The sequence below is a fragment of the Homo sapiens genome, chromosome 4 (genome assembly GCF_000001405.40).
Source record: "Homo sapiens chromosome 4, GRCh38.p14 Primary Assembly".
Classification (NCBI taxonomy): Eukaryota; Metazoa; Chordata; class Mammalia; order Primates; family Hominidae; genus Homo; species Homo sapiens.
The window spans coordinates 149,737,325-149,753,750 of NC_000004.12; the positions used below are offsets into that span (position 1 = coordinate 149,737,325).

General features: G+C 37.0%; 1 protein-coding gene across 18 annotated transcripts in view; it reads right to left on the reverse strand.

Moving 5' to 3' along the window:
• The window catches only part of IQCM (IQ motif containing M), a 464,135-nt gene that overhangs the window by 385,616 nt on the left and 62,093 nt on the right, over positions 1–16,426 (reverse strand). For 8 of the 18 annotated variants that reach the window (XM_017008903.3, XM_017008900.3, XM_017008901.3 and 5 more), the window contains 2 exons: positions 11,369–11,431; positions 5,331–5,415 (listed from right to left, as the gene is read on the reverse strand). The exons of 4 other annotated variants lie outside the window; for them this stretch is intronic. In XM_017008903.3, coding sequence (XP_016864392.1) covers positions 5,331–5,367 — 37 coding nt within the window. In that variant the 5' untranslated portion in view covers positions 5,368–5,415; positions 11,369–11,431. The remainder of the gene's footprint in view (positions 1–5,330; positions 5,416–11,368; positions 11,432–16,426) is intronic. 6 more of the 18 variants (NM_001363507.2, XM_017008902.3, NM_001363509.2 and 3 more) reach the window with 1 other exon arrangement.

Consider the following 16,426-nt stretch of genomic DNA (forward strand, 5'->3'; position numbering starts at 1 on the left):
TGTACATTTTACATCAAAAGAAGAAAAACTATAAAGAAATAATTAATTCTAACTAATGATATGCATGTTGATTGATGGATGGGTATGTGACAAATCAAGTACAGTAAAATATTAATGGTAAGAACTTGGTAGTAAGTATATGGGCATTGATTCGAAATTCTTTCAAGTTTGCTGTGTGTTTGAAAATTTCATAATAAATTATTGAAGGCCACACTCTCTCTTTATTCTTGCACAAAATATCTCCTTGCTTTTCACCACGTAGACTCACAGGCCACAGGTAGCTGTTACCTTAGGGTAATGAGGTCCTGAGGAATGGAGCCCGGTTCACATTAATTTTCCAATTCAAGCCAAAAGAAGCACTGTCCTCACACGGAAAGGGCAAGAGTTCTGGAATTAAAACTGTTTCATCAAATTTCAACCAAAATCCAATTTTGCTTTGAGGAGGCCTCTAGCCAGAGCATTTACTTCATGGAGGAAAGCCAGCAAGCTATTCCTAGGTGTGACTTCACAACCTGCCCTCCTTTTCCTTCTCTCATGACAGTCCTTTCCTCTTTTAATTCCCTTTTTCTGACTAATCAAATATCCCTTACAATTACTTTAATTACAATCACTTATAATTACAACATTGTCATGTGCATGACACATGACAAGCAATATAATTTATTAATATATTAAGTCACTGGTTTTTTGTTGTTGTTCAAAATGTAGCTTTGTGGAAACCATCATGTCTTATTTCAGACAAGACCTTAGAGATGTTCTAGTCTTCATTTATAGGCAAATTCTGAGAAGCAGAGACCTGACAGCCTGCTGAAGTCACACAGCAGTGCTGCGGCTCTGCACAGGCACTGTGCTCCTGAGTTCCTTGCTGCTCTTTTCTACAAATGTACTGCTTTTCCCAGTGCCATGTACACCTCATGAGTACTGGAAATTCCTCTGAAACTTGGCTGGTCACACTGGTGAGATACGCACGTTTCCCTGACACTTGCATTTTAAGCCAGCAATCCTGCCCCTTGTTGTCATTTAATGTGCTGATGCAGCTGTTTCGACTTCCCCCTTTGTAACTAGAATTAGCTTTCGACAGAGGAGTTAAATTCCCAAAGTAGCATTTTCTTCCTTGCTGGGCTCTTTGTTGATTAGTCCCTGATTTCCCCTGTCCACAAGTGCCACCCATCACCTGTGGACCGTGGAGAAACTATATGCGCTCTAGTAGCGCTAATGGCCTTGCTGGGGCCAGAAAGCAGATCTTGACATATCAAGGTATTGTCACAGCATACCCTTACAGTCAGGCCATGAGATTACTGAGCAGAACAAGGCCTGAGACTGTTCATAAAGGAGCAGAGAAAGGCAGCCAAGGTCAGAAAGCAGCAATTTCACATAGATCCTGAAATGGCTCCAATGAAGTCATGTGGACATTGACTTCCAGCTGGCAGTCCTGAGCCCTTGTTGTCATTTGAGGCACTGAGGTAGCTGTTCTGATTTTCTACCATCACTAAAAAGTGGCCCTTGAACAAGAGTGAAATTCACAAGATAGCACAAGATAACTCATACCTCAATGCCTTAGAAAAGACAATGCTAGCATCATTTATTTTTATAATTTCCAAGGACATGTATCTATCCCACAAATGAGTCTAAAAATTACAAGAAATCAAACAACATTTTTATTAAAGCTCCATCTAGTCAATAATCTTTGAGGCTTCTCTTTTCTTTGTTCATAATGGGGTAAGAATATAAGCTTGCATCTTTTACACATTCAAGTGCACTTCACCTATTATTTTGCGGAAGTTGCCAAGGTCTGTTCCTTCTTTATTATGAAAACTATACTTATAACTTAATTTGTAAATACATATTGATAGTATATAGAATGATTTTTAAGAGCTCTTATTCCTGAGTCACACTATTTTGTGCTTGAATTCCAGTTTGCTCATGAACCTTATTGTCTTAAGCCTTATTTTTCTTATTTGTAAACAGAGGATAATAATAATATATGTCACAGAGATTTGTCTGAAGATTAACTTAAACACTGTTACAAAACAGCACAGCACCTAACATATAAGCTTTCAATAAATGTGAGAAATTGTATTATTTTTGAGATTATTGCATTACCATCATTGGGCTAAACTTTTCCCCAACAGTGTTTATATAATTTTTTTTTTTTTTTTAGTCAACCCTCATTTCTTCAGAATCACAAAGATAACTTCCTAATGCAGTTTGGGTAAATTGTCTTATTAAAATTCCTTTTTATCCAAAACTAACTAATATGTTTGCAGTTAATAAAATATTTTCATACATAGGATTCTTCATGTTATTAAAGTTCCCAAAAGCAATAGTAAGTCATTACAAGTAATAATAAATGTTTTGCAATAAAGTTCATGAAGAGGTTGAAATGGTCATATTAAACTCATCTAAGACATGAGTGCAAATACTAACATTCCTATAGGAAAAAAAATATGAGTAGCTCTAATCCCAAATATTTCACTAGCCTAAAACATTTTCACACATTTATCTTTTAAAAAAAAACCTCATTTTTCATATATCATCAGCTTAACACAATTGTGATGACGGTTCATAAAACCAGATTTCTCTACTACTTTAGAGGTTCTACATAGTTGCTCCAGTGAGCCTCTGAAGTGAAGATACAAAAAGAAAATCTAGTTATGGAAACTATGACAGAGAATAAGCCATCTCTTAATTAGAATTGTTGAGTAAGTATTTTCTGTATCCGAAAAGACCCAGGGGCTTAAAAACATTTGCTTTTCATAACGATAATAAAAACAACTGGCCATACTCAGAGGGTTTACATCCTTCCCATTAATAGGCTACATTCTTCAGAGAGGCTTCACAAAATTTTAGTTAAAAGATAATCTTAAGCAAAGATGTGTGGCCACATGGCTAAGGCCAACCCTGTGTATGTAATCAGAGTAAATGCCTGACAGGTGTAACAAAAGCCCCACCTCAGACACAATGGGAGTCAGTTTAGCACACATTTTTTAAGTACCTACTAAGTGCTAGATGCTGTTTTGATGCTAAATGTGCTAAAATAAGTAAGACTAGCTATTTCTGTCTTCCAAGTGCTTAAGAGTCTAGTGCTAGAAAAAATGTGTAAATAAATGCCTTGACAGTCAGTTAAGATAGGCACTGTGATAGAAGCCAACATAAACCACCAACACCCCCTACCGCTAGCGCACTAATGTATGAATTTCCCTTTAAAAAGATAAAGCTTTACACTGTATTATTGAAAATAATATTGAAAACAGAAATACTCCAAGAGAAATAAGTGAATGGAAGCCAGGCTAAGGCAGTGGTTTTAAATATGTGCTTCATTAATTTCATGTGCCTTGGGGGTGCTTCCTTCTTTCAATCAGAGGCTCAGATCTTATCTGTTTTACATATTTGAGCTCTTCCTAAGTTTTATTTTGCAGAATTTCTTTGCTGAAAAGTAAACATACAACAGCTAAGCAAAAAACAAATAAAGGTCTGAATAACAGTGCCTCTGTGGAAAGAACCTGCTTGTAAACAGGTTCAGATGGAGAGAAGGATTAGAGTGCCAAGAAGTGGAGAGAAGCTGTAGAGGGGAGAAGCTGAAGAGGAGAGAAGCTGGAATTAAGGCCATCAGTTCTAGGGTAAAGAGTTATGGAGCTGGAAAGTAAATAGAAGCTCTTTGGACAAAAACTTCAAATACAATAATTTATATTAATTTCATTACATGTAAGTGAAGAAAACATAAATTATTTCTAATTTATTCCTAAAAAGAGTTAAAGAACCAAATGAAACCCAAATTTCAAGTGGCATCTGGTTATCATCTCCTAAAACACATATTCAACATTTTTTTCCGTAATACATTCTGCATTAAGACTCAACTCTTCAGTTCTAAATTAAAGGCACTCTGTTGAGTTGTCTCTTACTGACTTACTTTCCCCCTCCCTTATTCTCTGGTCTTCTTTAACAAAGTATCCTGCCTTATTTGCACCAAGAAATGCTAATAAGTTTCATATATACCTCAGACATATCTTACAGGGTACTGCCCAAAAATCTTTCTATGTTAATATTTCTCAGACAGTGGTCAGGTTACTAAGGAGATGTAGGGAAATGCCAGGCTCATAGCATCAAGGTCATGTGGGCATGACCTAAAGCAAAATGGAACTAGAGAATATTCCTCCTCCACTTCCTGGATCTTCCACCCTTTCTGACCTTCCCATCTTTAAAAGTGTTCTGTGTTATCCACATAAAAAGAGAGTTAAAGTGATCATCACAGAGCTCTATTGGCAGCCCTGGGCAGATGCTTGCTGGCCTGTATCATACACTGTCAGGGGTAACAGGAGCCAAGAGGAAGTAGCAGAACAGTAATAACCTCAGCTCTATGTGCGGCACTATATGTTAGGATTGCTTGTATTTGCTGCCAAGTCTAGATTAACTCTAAAAGAAATATAATGTGTAATTAATAATAATGTATGGTATACCTGAAAGTTGCTGAGAGAAATCTTAAGTAGTCTCATCACACCAGAAAAAAAGCTAACTATGTGAAGTAATGGATATTATAATTAGCTCGATAGAGGTAATAATTTTACAATGTGTATACATGTTAACACGCACATTGCACACCTTTATATTTAATTTTTATTTGTGAATTGTACCTCAATAAAGCTAGAAGATTATACAGTGTGAACTGAATATGTAATTTACATGTAATTTAAATTTTTCTGGTAGACATACTAAAAAAGGTGAAATTAATTTGTGTAACATAATTTTTATAGAATATTTTATTTAAATAAAATACATCTAAATATTACCACTTCAACATTAATCAATATTTAAAATGAATTAGATATTTTACATTCTTTTTTGTTCTATCTTCGAAACTCTATATGTATTTTGTTTGTACTTACATACATCACAACTCACATGCTAAATTTTTATCAGAACTACTTAATCTGTATTTACATTTTATAAAATCATCACTTGAAAAAATAGATTTATATGCCCAAATTTGTTCCAAACATGCTTAAAGGTTTTCCAATAACTGAATTATCAGTTTTTAAGTTTAAATTAAAATTCATTAAATTTAAATTAAATATTCAGTTCCTTAGTTTCACCAGCCACATTTCAAGGACTGAATAGCCCACATGTGACAAGTGGATACCATATGGGACAGCACAATAAGTTAAAAAGATCTCTCAAAAGTTGGTTATTTTTAAATAAAGGGAATGGAATAAATCCTTTCAAGATGTGCCAATAAGTGTAGTGCTCTGAGGGTCACTAATTAATAGAAAAGAGTGGTTAAAACAGTTGGAGTGTTATGACTTGTACTATGTTAGGTAAGCACAGATACTCACATTTTGCTTTTTCAGGCATAGCCTCTTCAGTAGTCATGAGGGGCAGTTAGAATGATCTTCTTTTTTAAAGTGTGAGCTCCAAGTCCTTAAACACAGTTACATTAAGTAATTCAGTGATGATAAATATTTATTTTTAGCTATTTCTTTTGCTCACTCATAGGTAAATAGGGTGAATGATTAAAACTTTTTATATGTCATTTCTGTGCTCTATAACCTTCAATGCCTTCCCCTCCAAAACACAGTAACAATAGCTAGCATTGGGTAGGGCTCTGCAGTTTATCGAGTACTCATATACACATTGCCTTACTGGGTCTAGGCAACCTGATAAGAACTATTATTATGAATATTTGGCAGATGTGGAAATTGGAGCTTAGAGAAGTAAAATAGCTTGTCAAGGTAAGAAGCTATGTAGTGGCATGTGCAAAACTCAAAAGATGTTTGGGCTCAAGACCCTATGCAGGTCTCTCCGATTTCCTACTACTTTCTACTACTTGCTTTCTTACTACTTTCAACTAATATCCAGTTAATACCTGGCACATACCTTATACACTCCTGCCTTCAGCTTAGGTTTATGCCAGCCTTCCACTCAGAATGCCTTGACCTCTCATCTATATTTATTTATATCCTACCTGCCCTCAAAGCCTAGGTTCAAATCCTACCTCTTCCATGACCACCCAGCCTCTTTTCCTGTGATCTGTTCCTCTCTTAAATACAGTAGTTATGTTGTCCATGCCTCTCCCTAGAAACTTAACATAAGCTGTCTGTGTAAGGGGCTAAAAACACAGAGTGATCGATATATACTATATATCTATATTCCCAATTTTAGTCCTATACATTCCCAGTTAGACTCCAAATGCCTTGAAAACAAAACTATACTTTATACCAGTAGTTCTCAATGCTGGATGAATATCAGAATCACCTAAGGAGTTTTTAAATATATGTCTAGAGTGGGACCTAGGCATCTGGCATTTTTGAAAGTTTCCCAGAATATTTAAATGTTCAGTTAGAGGAATGAAGTCTGCCTTGTGCCTCATCCTTCATGGTTCCCAGCTCAGTGCATTGCATTCTAGAGGTGCTCAACAAAGGGCTGATTAATGGGTTCATTAGCTGAGCCCTTCTACATTTGACATTATCATTACTTCAAAAGCATTATCCAAAATGCATCAAATGTTACCTCTATATCCAAGGAGTCAGTTACACCAGTGCATACTACTACATGCTCAAATGGCTTTACAATTAGAAATGGGAATATTAAATGCTTTAGCAGAGTTCCATGGAGACCCTTGTTCTAAGATTCTATGTATAATTGTTCAGTTGGCAGACTCGACTAACAAACTATGAGTTCAGAATTCAAAACCTATTAAATAATTTGGTAATTATTTCAGTAAATCTGTAAGCCAGCTTTGCCCTATGAAAGTCAGGACCCTGTAGCCTCATGCTCTTAGATAAAAGGCTACAACACTTTTCCTCAGCTTCTACCCAGAGCGGGGAAAATACCATTGCAGGTACAGTTTTAAAATAGCAAATCTGGAACATCCAAAAATGATTAATTCTCAAATTGTCAGCATCATCTCATGGGCTAGAGCACAGAACATGTACCTTGTCTGCCTAGTTCTGCAAATGAACTGGGATAAATTAAAATACTGCATCTCCCTCAGCAATTAACAATCAGAACTCATCTTCTGGCCTGGTTTAACTACACTGTCTTCTTTAAGTATAAGAAGGAAATAAAAATGTTTTGTGCTCCATCATTTTCTTGTTTTAATTTCCACAGAAATGGACTCTTCTCTGGGTCTGTTGGCTCCTCCACCTTAATTCAGTGTGCCAGGAGTGTCAGCCTGCATTAAATTGGCTGGAAAGCAAGACATCCCACTGTCCTTTTAATGCAAAAAACTAGCCAAGCATCCTAAGGGGTGCTGGCATGGTAATGTCCCTGCAAACTTGAGGTGATGAGGGAGGACTCTGAGACAGGAGCTGGGGGTGTAGAACGGCCAGGAAGGATGGAATTGCTTAGAGATGGGCACAATGACACAAAATATCAGCAAATGGGGCCCCTCTCCACTTTAAGTCTCCAGCAGACAGTTACGAGATGCTGAGTCCTTCCTAATGCATCCATCAATTAATAAAAGCATATTTAGTGCCTGAGCTGTGCAAAGGACTTGCCATTTATTTCAGAAAAAAAAGCCAAAAACATAAATCAAATTTTAAATAAAGATGCAAACAACATGCAAAAAGTATGCCAGATGTCATAAGGAAATCTGTGAGCTTTGTGAAATAAGTGATATAAATCCGTGAGTACTATGAGTTCAAATGAAGACAACATCACCGAGGCCTGAGAAGGTGACATAAAAGAGAGTTCAAGAAGAACTGAGCTACTTACACCTGGAAGGGTGAGCACAGGGTTAATCAGAACCAAATGCTGGCCAGTACACCCCTGTGGTACTGAATACCAGTCCTGAGTGGATCAGAATGCCTAACTTAAGAGCAGAGAAGACAGAGAGGTGAGAGAAATAGTACAAGCAAAGGCATGGAGGTGAGAATACTCGTAGTCTGGGGGACATCAAGTTGTGTGTCTGTTTGATTTTAGCAGAGGGCTACATTTTATGCTGCTGAAATGGTCAAAGAACTATTGAAAGTTTTTGAACAGGGCATTGACATAACCAACGTTCTAGAATGTAACTTCCATAAAGGCAAAGATTCTGTTTTCCTCTCTGCAACAAGCCTTGAACAAGGCTTGGTATTTGGAAGGATCTCAAAAAGCATTTGCTATTTGTATAATCAGTAATTATGGCAACAGCATACTGGACAAGGATGACCTACCTTCTCACATTTCCTTCAGCACATTTGTGAAAAAGTCCTCTCACCCTTTCTTTTACAGTAGATGCAACTTAAGGCTCTCTGAAACGGTTACAGGAATGCTAAGGATTTCTAATTCCATTTCTACATGGATGAAAGACAAACAGAAGTAGAAACTATTTCCCTACCTTATCTTCTTAGCTTGACATTCCTAAAGTAGATGACTGATAAGACTTTAAGGCTGGGTGCAGTGGCTCATTACTAAAATCCCAGAACTTTGGGAAGCTGAGGCAGAACAATTGCTTGAGCCCAGGTGTTCAACACAAGTCTGGGCAACATGGTCAAACCCCTTCTCAACAAAGAATACAAAAATTAGCTGGGTGGGGTGCATTCATATAGTCCCAGCTACTCTACTGGAGGCTGAGGTGGGAGGATCAGTTGAGCCTGGGAGGTCAAGGCTGCAGTGAGCCGTGATCGTGCCACTGCATTCCAGCCTGGGCAACAGAGTGAGACCCTGTCTCAAAGAAAAGAAAAAGACAAGACAAGCCAAGGCTTTATCATGGCTCTTATAATTCAGTATTCTTTTGGCAAAAAAAAAAAAAAGCCTTATCGTAATTAGCAGGATGCAGGGAAACAAGCCATGCTCCAGGGATCTGGAAAGGTAGTTTCAGCAGTTGATATTATGGCAAATGGAAGTCCTCATTTACTACCCCAAACTTTCTCCCCACTGTCCCTCCACCTCAATCCTCCTAACCCTGAATCATACTTTCACCCTTCCCCATTTCTCTGTCTTAGAAATTGTACCTATATCTACCTAGTTGCTCAAGCCATAAATCTTTTATTTCTCCTATATTTTTGTCTACCACATCCAATTCATCAAGTCTTCTAGGTTTTTAACTTAAAAATACATCTGCTTCTCCCCATCTTAATCTCCCAGCCACAATCATTTCATTCTGGGACTGCTGAAATAGCTTCTTAACTGCTCTCCCAATTTCCTCTCTTTCTCTGCCAATTCATTCTCCACACAGCAGGAGTGATCTTAATTGTGTATCAGATCATATTATTTCCCTTCCATGGTTTCTGAACTTCATTTAAAATAAAACGTAATCTCTTGCCCTGAGCTCTTCTCTCTTATGCAACTGAGTATATATGGGTGATAAGCATAGTACTGCCATTCCACAACTCCACACAGAACTGAGCCAGAAGGCTTGGTTTGACTTCTCTTGGACTTAGTTTTCTCATTTACAAGGTAAAATTTTTGGGCAAGAAGATCTCTAAGACCCCATCAGTTTCTAAAACACTATTATTCCATTGCTTTTGTGTACTATGCTAAAAAATAGTTGGCTCCAAATCCAAGAAATCAACTGCATGGGCAAGAGTTCGTGCCTCCCTCCTGACCTTCTCTACTTCACTCTGCGCTCTGTAACTCTGGAGAAGAAAACCAAAAAAAAGGAGTCTAGACCAGGCCACTTCTGGTCATGTCCCTAGTTGCAGGCCTCATCAGGTGTCTCTCAAGCCTAGGCCACTAGGACCTCCCTCCCAGCTTTTGTCCTAGTCACCCTTCTCTGATAAGTATAAGCCCCCTTCCACTTTTCCTCTACTAAGTCAACAAGGACCTTTAGGTTATTTTCTGGATTTTCTTTCTAACTGACTTCTGTCAAGTCTCCTGGTGTCTCTGACCAAATCATCAGATCTGCTAGCACCAAACAATAGGAATAAGAAAAGAGAAAGGAGAGCAGGTAAAGAAAACCAAACAGAACAAGTTCCAATGAGGGCCAATATAACAGGACAAATATTAGGCATCTAAAATGTGCAAAGGTATACAGTCATTGCTCTGTATATGAAGGATCGATTCCAAGACCCCTGTAGATGTCAAAATCTGCAGATGCTCAAGTCCCTTATGTAAAATGCCATAGTATTTGCATATAACCTATGCACACCCTCCCATATAGTTTAAATCATCTCTAGATTATTTATAATGCCTAATGCAATGTAAATGCTATGCAAGTAGTTCTAACACCATATTGTTTAGGAAATAATGACAAGAAAAAAGTCTGCACATTCAGTACAGACACAATTGTCCATTTTTAAAAAATATTTTCAATCCATGTTTAGTTGAATCTACATATGTGGAATCCACGGATACAGAGGTCCAACTACAGTAGATGATAGGAGAACAAGAAATTTATAATTACATAATTAAACTATAATCCAAACTTGTGAGAGGGCCATAAAATGAGTTGGAAAGAAGATACTCTATGAATTTATGATTAATATCAGGCTAGCTAGGAACGCAGGGACCACATGGAACAGTGGCAAGCCCATGAAATCATACTCCTTTCCTGATGCAGAAACCTTCCTCTAAATTTCTAATTAATTCAGGTTAATATATTACCCAGAACCAGGAAGTGGGAAGGAAATAATATAAATGAATCATTAGGATATCACTTTAGCTAACACAAAGCTCAGAGTCTAGGAGCACTGTGATGAGAGCAAACTTGGATTTCAATCCTGATTCTGCCATTGCCAAAGTGATCTGAAGCAAACCAATTAACCTCTCTGAATCCTACCTCGTCTAGAAGCAAAAGATTTAAAATAGACCCATAATATTAAAAATAGCAGCTTCAACTTATGTTTAAAGAAACTCTGTCTCAGAAGTCAATGAGAATAACAGGTGGAAAGCCTGGCTGCTCTGACTGAAGAGGATCTCATGGGCTTTCCCTGAACTGCCCATCACTCCCGACTACCTCCCACCCACCTTCAACCCCAGCACTCCAAGTTCAGAGGCACACCATCAATGACTTCAAAGGTACCTTCTGGATATAAGTTTTCACTATTTCATAAAATAGATATTATGTTCTATTCTTTTATGGGCATGCATGGACACTTACATTAATTAAGATATCTCAAATATTCCCAGCTTACATGAAATATTTAAATCTTTAAATCACAAAAAAGCAGTTATTAATACATTTCAGTTCTCAACTCATTAAAAAGGAGATGTTAAACTGAGAACACTCTCCCATTATACTTTAAAATTCTTACTTTTTTTGGCTAAAATACACTCTTTTTTTCACCTTTTGACTCTCTTAATGGGTAAAACCAACTATTCTGAGCCATATTCAACAAGCTATGGAGTTTTTCTGTGATCTTATTTTAGGATTTTGATACTGTTATGTATAAAATATGATTTGGCAATACATGGACATGTACATTGAAGGTCACTGAAGATCAAAGCTTACCAACAGATGATGGGCTGGGGTTGGTGAGACAAGACTATCATTCATAGTGGTTAGGTGGAGTAACTTGGGGGTAAAAAGGAAATGATCAATGTTAGATAGACCCATACTTGAGTAGAGATCAACTACTAGAATAAATCGAAATACTGAATTTTAGTCCATGTATCATCCACAATTATAAGCACAAATGTACCTTATAATATAAAGAACTTTTACAAATCAATGAAAAATACAGGCAGTTGAATATAAAAATAGGCAACAAAATGGGAAAGAAGCATGTGAAAAGACATTCATTCAAAACTCATTCATCACCCAGGAAACACAAATAAAACCACGACCATCACACTCCCAAAAGAATGGCTTCTTTAAAAATACCAAATGTTGAGACAGATATAGAACTACTGAAATATTCACACACTGCCTGTTGCAGTGTTAGTTGGTAGTCTTCAGGAAACCATTTGGTATTATCTTTAAAAATTGAATCCGTACCTAACCATGACCCATCCCTCAGACTCCCAACAGAAAGGCTTATAATGTATACCAAAAGGCACATATAAGAATGATCATAGCAGTGCTATTTGTAACAGCTAAAAACTAGAAGCAACCCAAATGTCCACTGACAGTAGAATACACAATTTGCATTTTATTTATACAATGGAATATTTCACATCAGTGAAAATAAACTGGTATATTCAAAGACATAGTATATTCTCACATATATTATTTTGAAAGAAGCCAGCATAATCAGGACACGGTCTATGTTTTTAATAATATAAAGTTCAAAAACAGGCCAAACTTACTAATGACAATAGGAAACAGGATAATAGAGAACTGTGAGGAAAGAGTGCAGGGTCTGAGGTGGGGGGCACAAGGAGGGCCTCTGGAATACCTTCCAGGGGGTAGGCATTTCTTTATCAGAGGGTGATTATAGAGATGTGTACACTTCGTCAATATTCATTGAGCTATACACAGGAATTGTGCACTTTTCTGATTATATGTTATAAATCAGTTACAATTTACTTAACAGTAATTATATATACTTTATTAATGTTTCAATATAACCTATTAGAACCCTGAAAATACTACCCTAGTCATTACAGGTGGTTCCATTTCTCTTCTTACACTCACTCAAAAGAAATATGAAGCATCAAGCTTTGGTAAAAGCCACCAAGATCTGTGCTGGATTGTAAGCCCCACCAGTGCAGGAACTAGCTGTTTAAATTTCTTTGTCTTCCATAAGCCTGAGCACATGACTAGCCAAGTAATAAAACTCTATAAAAACTGTTTATTTGAATTCCTGAAAAGAAGTCCTAAAGCATTAGCATTACAATCTTCTTTGTTTTCTCAGAGTTCCTAATATTTATTTGGAAATCCCGCTACTACTGAAATGTATGTATAACCTCTCATGAATTTTTGTAATGTGACTAATGGGCTTTGCTTATTTAATTTTTTCCCTCTTGTTATCTTGATAAAATTTTGATAGGAAGACCATAATTATCCAATGAGGAGCTAAGTACTTTGATACAAAGTGAACGGTAATGAAACACACACACACTCTCCAAAAACTGGTTTCAGAAAAGTTCACATTATTCCACATTTTTCTCACCTGAAATTCCCATTCAGTCATTGAATACAACCCTCATATGCCGAGAGAAAGGCAGAGGTGGGGGTAATAGAGTGACGCTTTCCTTGAACAAAATGTTAAAATATTAGAAGCTATGTCTTATTGTAAATTTTATTTCTGGGGGATTTCAGTTAGAAATGTATCAGTTAGGGCATATATGTCCAAGAACAAAAAAGGTAATAAGAGCCTTATTTCCTTAGAACACTACTATATCAGAAATGATTTCAAAATATTTTATGAAGAGTCCCGTATCAATACATGCAGTTATGCCTTCACTGATAATTGTGGCATGTTGTGACTCTGTTTTTCTTGTGATTTTCACAGATTAAAACAGTGCTGTTATAAAAGTACATTCTCCCAGTTATTAATCTCACATGCCTTAAATAGAAGCCATTAACATTTTATAAATAACAATAAAGAGAGAAAATTTATAAAGCATTCCCCGCTGAGATGTTTGGGACACTATGTTAACAGTTAAAGACAACAATGAAAACACCATAAAGTTAATTACAACAAATTAAATACACTAAATTAGAGGCCAAAACTGTTCAACTGTTCCAATAGAATTATGCTGTGCTTAGAAATAGTGATGTTAAAGAGCAAAATCTAGAAATTTGAGCAAATCATGAAATATTGCAAAATTCTGGCTTATATTTTCTGTTTTCTTTTTTATCTCTATAAACTTGTAAAAACTAGCTAATATTTACAAGGTCTGAAATGGTTTTGGAGCGTTTATATGTAAGGGATAGTTTCAAGGAAAACAACTTTAAAATTGAAAACAATCTTGGGAGTTGATTTGTTTAGCCTCTCATTTCACAGGAGAGGGAAGAGCAACATAGGGCTGTAAGTGATTTCAGCTTAACACTGGATTTGTGAATGAACTGGAACCAGAATATGGGTTTCCTGATTCCTGATGAAGCAAGAATCCCCCTGATGAAATTCCAGAATTTTACCCTCCGTGAATCTCCCCTCCGTGAATTCTTTCTTTACCTTCTGCTCTCTGACTGAACTCTCTTATTCTACTTTGTTCTAACAGAGACAGTATGACGTCATGGTGAAGAGCACAGACTTGCTCAGATGGGACTGGGTTCAAGCCCAGGCTTAATCACTTCCTAATCAAGGGCCTTAGGCCTTGAGTAATCAATTCATTCCAGTCTGCCTGAGATTTTCCCGGCTTTAAAACTTAAGGTCCTGAATCCTGGGAGCTGCACAGTCCCAGAAATTAGGACAGCAATTTCCTTAACCCTCATAGACTAAGCTCTTTCATCTGTAATAATCATTGTATAATCTTTATATCTCACAGGGCTACTGCAAGACCAAATGAATGAATGTCTAAAAACATTTATGACAGGTCTACACCTGGTCCACTCAGTAAGTACTCATTTCCATATCTGTTACTTCTTATTGGATCTTATTCTATATTGGAGATTTAAATTTGAGAGTAGTTTAAACCAGAGATGATATGTAAAACCAAGAGAGAGAATGAGTTCTCTGAGAAATAGGGCAAGCAGCAGACTCGGGGAGGGTGGGAATAGCATAGAAAGAACAGAGAACACAAAGAAGGATGGCGAGTGCCTCAAGGCCATATTCGTCAACATCATCAAAGAAGAAAAGAAGGGAATTCTAGGGACATGATATGCATGGAAGGACTTAGTAATAAACTCTACTCTTGAGTCTATAAATATGTGTGGATTCTGTAAAGAATTAAAACAGAAGAAAGAGAAAGGATAAGAGATCTATAGGTATAATATTTTGTGTACTACATGGGTGACTTTAGAAACATGAAGAGTCCCCAAGAAAGCAAATATTGTCCACAATTAACACATCATTGATGCATACAGTATCATGTCTAGCATTTACATCTTTCTAGAAAAAAAAAAATCCCTGGGAGGAATAACACATTGAGTAACTATTATCAAAGCACCTATCTTTTTCTCATCGATATCTGGCTGAAAGGCCAGGCACGGGTGGCTCACGCCTGTAATCCCAGCACTTTGGGAGGCTGAGGAAGGTGGATCACCTGAAGTCAGGAGTTCGAGACCAGCCTGGCCAACATGGTGAAACCCCATCTCTACTAAAAATACAAAAATTAGCCAGGCATGGTGGCAGGCACCTGTAATCCCAGCTACTCACAGGGCTGAGGCAGGAGAATTGCTTGAACCTGGGAGGCAGAGGTTCTAGTGAGCCGAGATCACACCACTGCACTCCAGCCTGGTAACAGAATGAGACTCTGTCTTAAAAAAAAAAAAAAAAATGGCTGAAAGCTTTTCCCTAAGGAATGAGACAGGCATTAATAGGGTAGGGATGTACTTTTAGTCATCTTCAAGGGCCAGAAATAGAAAATTAATACAGAGGGGTGATGGGACTGAAGCTGTGGATGCTGTTCCAGCTCCCAGAAGCCAAGTAGAGGCAACCTGGAGTTCAGCTCCAGTGTAGTAACCAGAACTCAGAGTAATTCTCATGTTAGGTAGGGGATCACAGCGAGGCTCTGCTAAAAATGACTAGCTAAAAAGAGGTAGAAATGCAACTTCCCACTGGTGCTTGATACAGGGGGTTATCACAAGCTCCATATTTGGAGAGGCAGAGGAGACAGACATGTCTTACCACCACGCCCTAGCCACACCAACACTGACTCAGAAACAGGTTTGAAATATCACTATCAAAGGGGCAGGAGCCCCAAGGAACCAATATAAGATCTGGTTCTGGACTGGGAACTTAGGGGCAACTACAAAACTGTGAAACAGAAAGTGGTGAGCATTAGAAGTAAATAAAACATAAAAATATAATAAAACTTACTACTCTACATAAGCCTGAAAATTATTATGAAATAACTTAAAAATTATTTAACATATGTCCAAAACTAACACTAGGAAAGACAGCCAATAAGATCAATAAGATCAACAATTGGAATAGTAATTTACTCCATAGGAAACGAAAACAATAAAAAAAATGAAAAAGAATTTAAAATAAGTAGGTTAAGACTCTACCAAGAGACAGAGGAGGAAACCATCTCTCTAAAAAAGAATATAAAAATATGAAACAAAATAGCCAGAAACAAAATAGAGATATGAAATAGAACAAATTGGAATCCTTTAAATAAAAATACGTTCTTTCAAAAACTGTATAAGCTTGATATACAGAATAAAATGTGGATTGGACACAGTATAAGAGAATCAGTGAGCTAGAAGATAACACTAAGGAGTTTCCCAGAAGTTGATGAAATGAGATAGAGAAAGAAAGATGAAATAACAATGAAAAGATATAAAGGAGGGTGTGGGGAGGGAGGAGTGTTAGCATTAGGAGATATACCTAATGTAAATGACAAGTTAATGGGTGCAGCACACCAACATGGCTCATGTATACATATGTAACAAACCTGCACGTTGTGCCCATGTACCCTAGAACTTAAAGTATAATAAAAAATAAAATAAAAACAC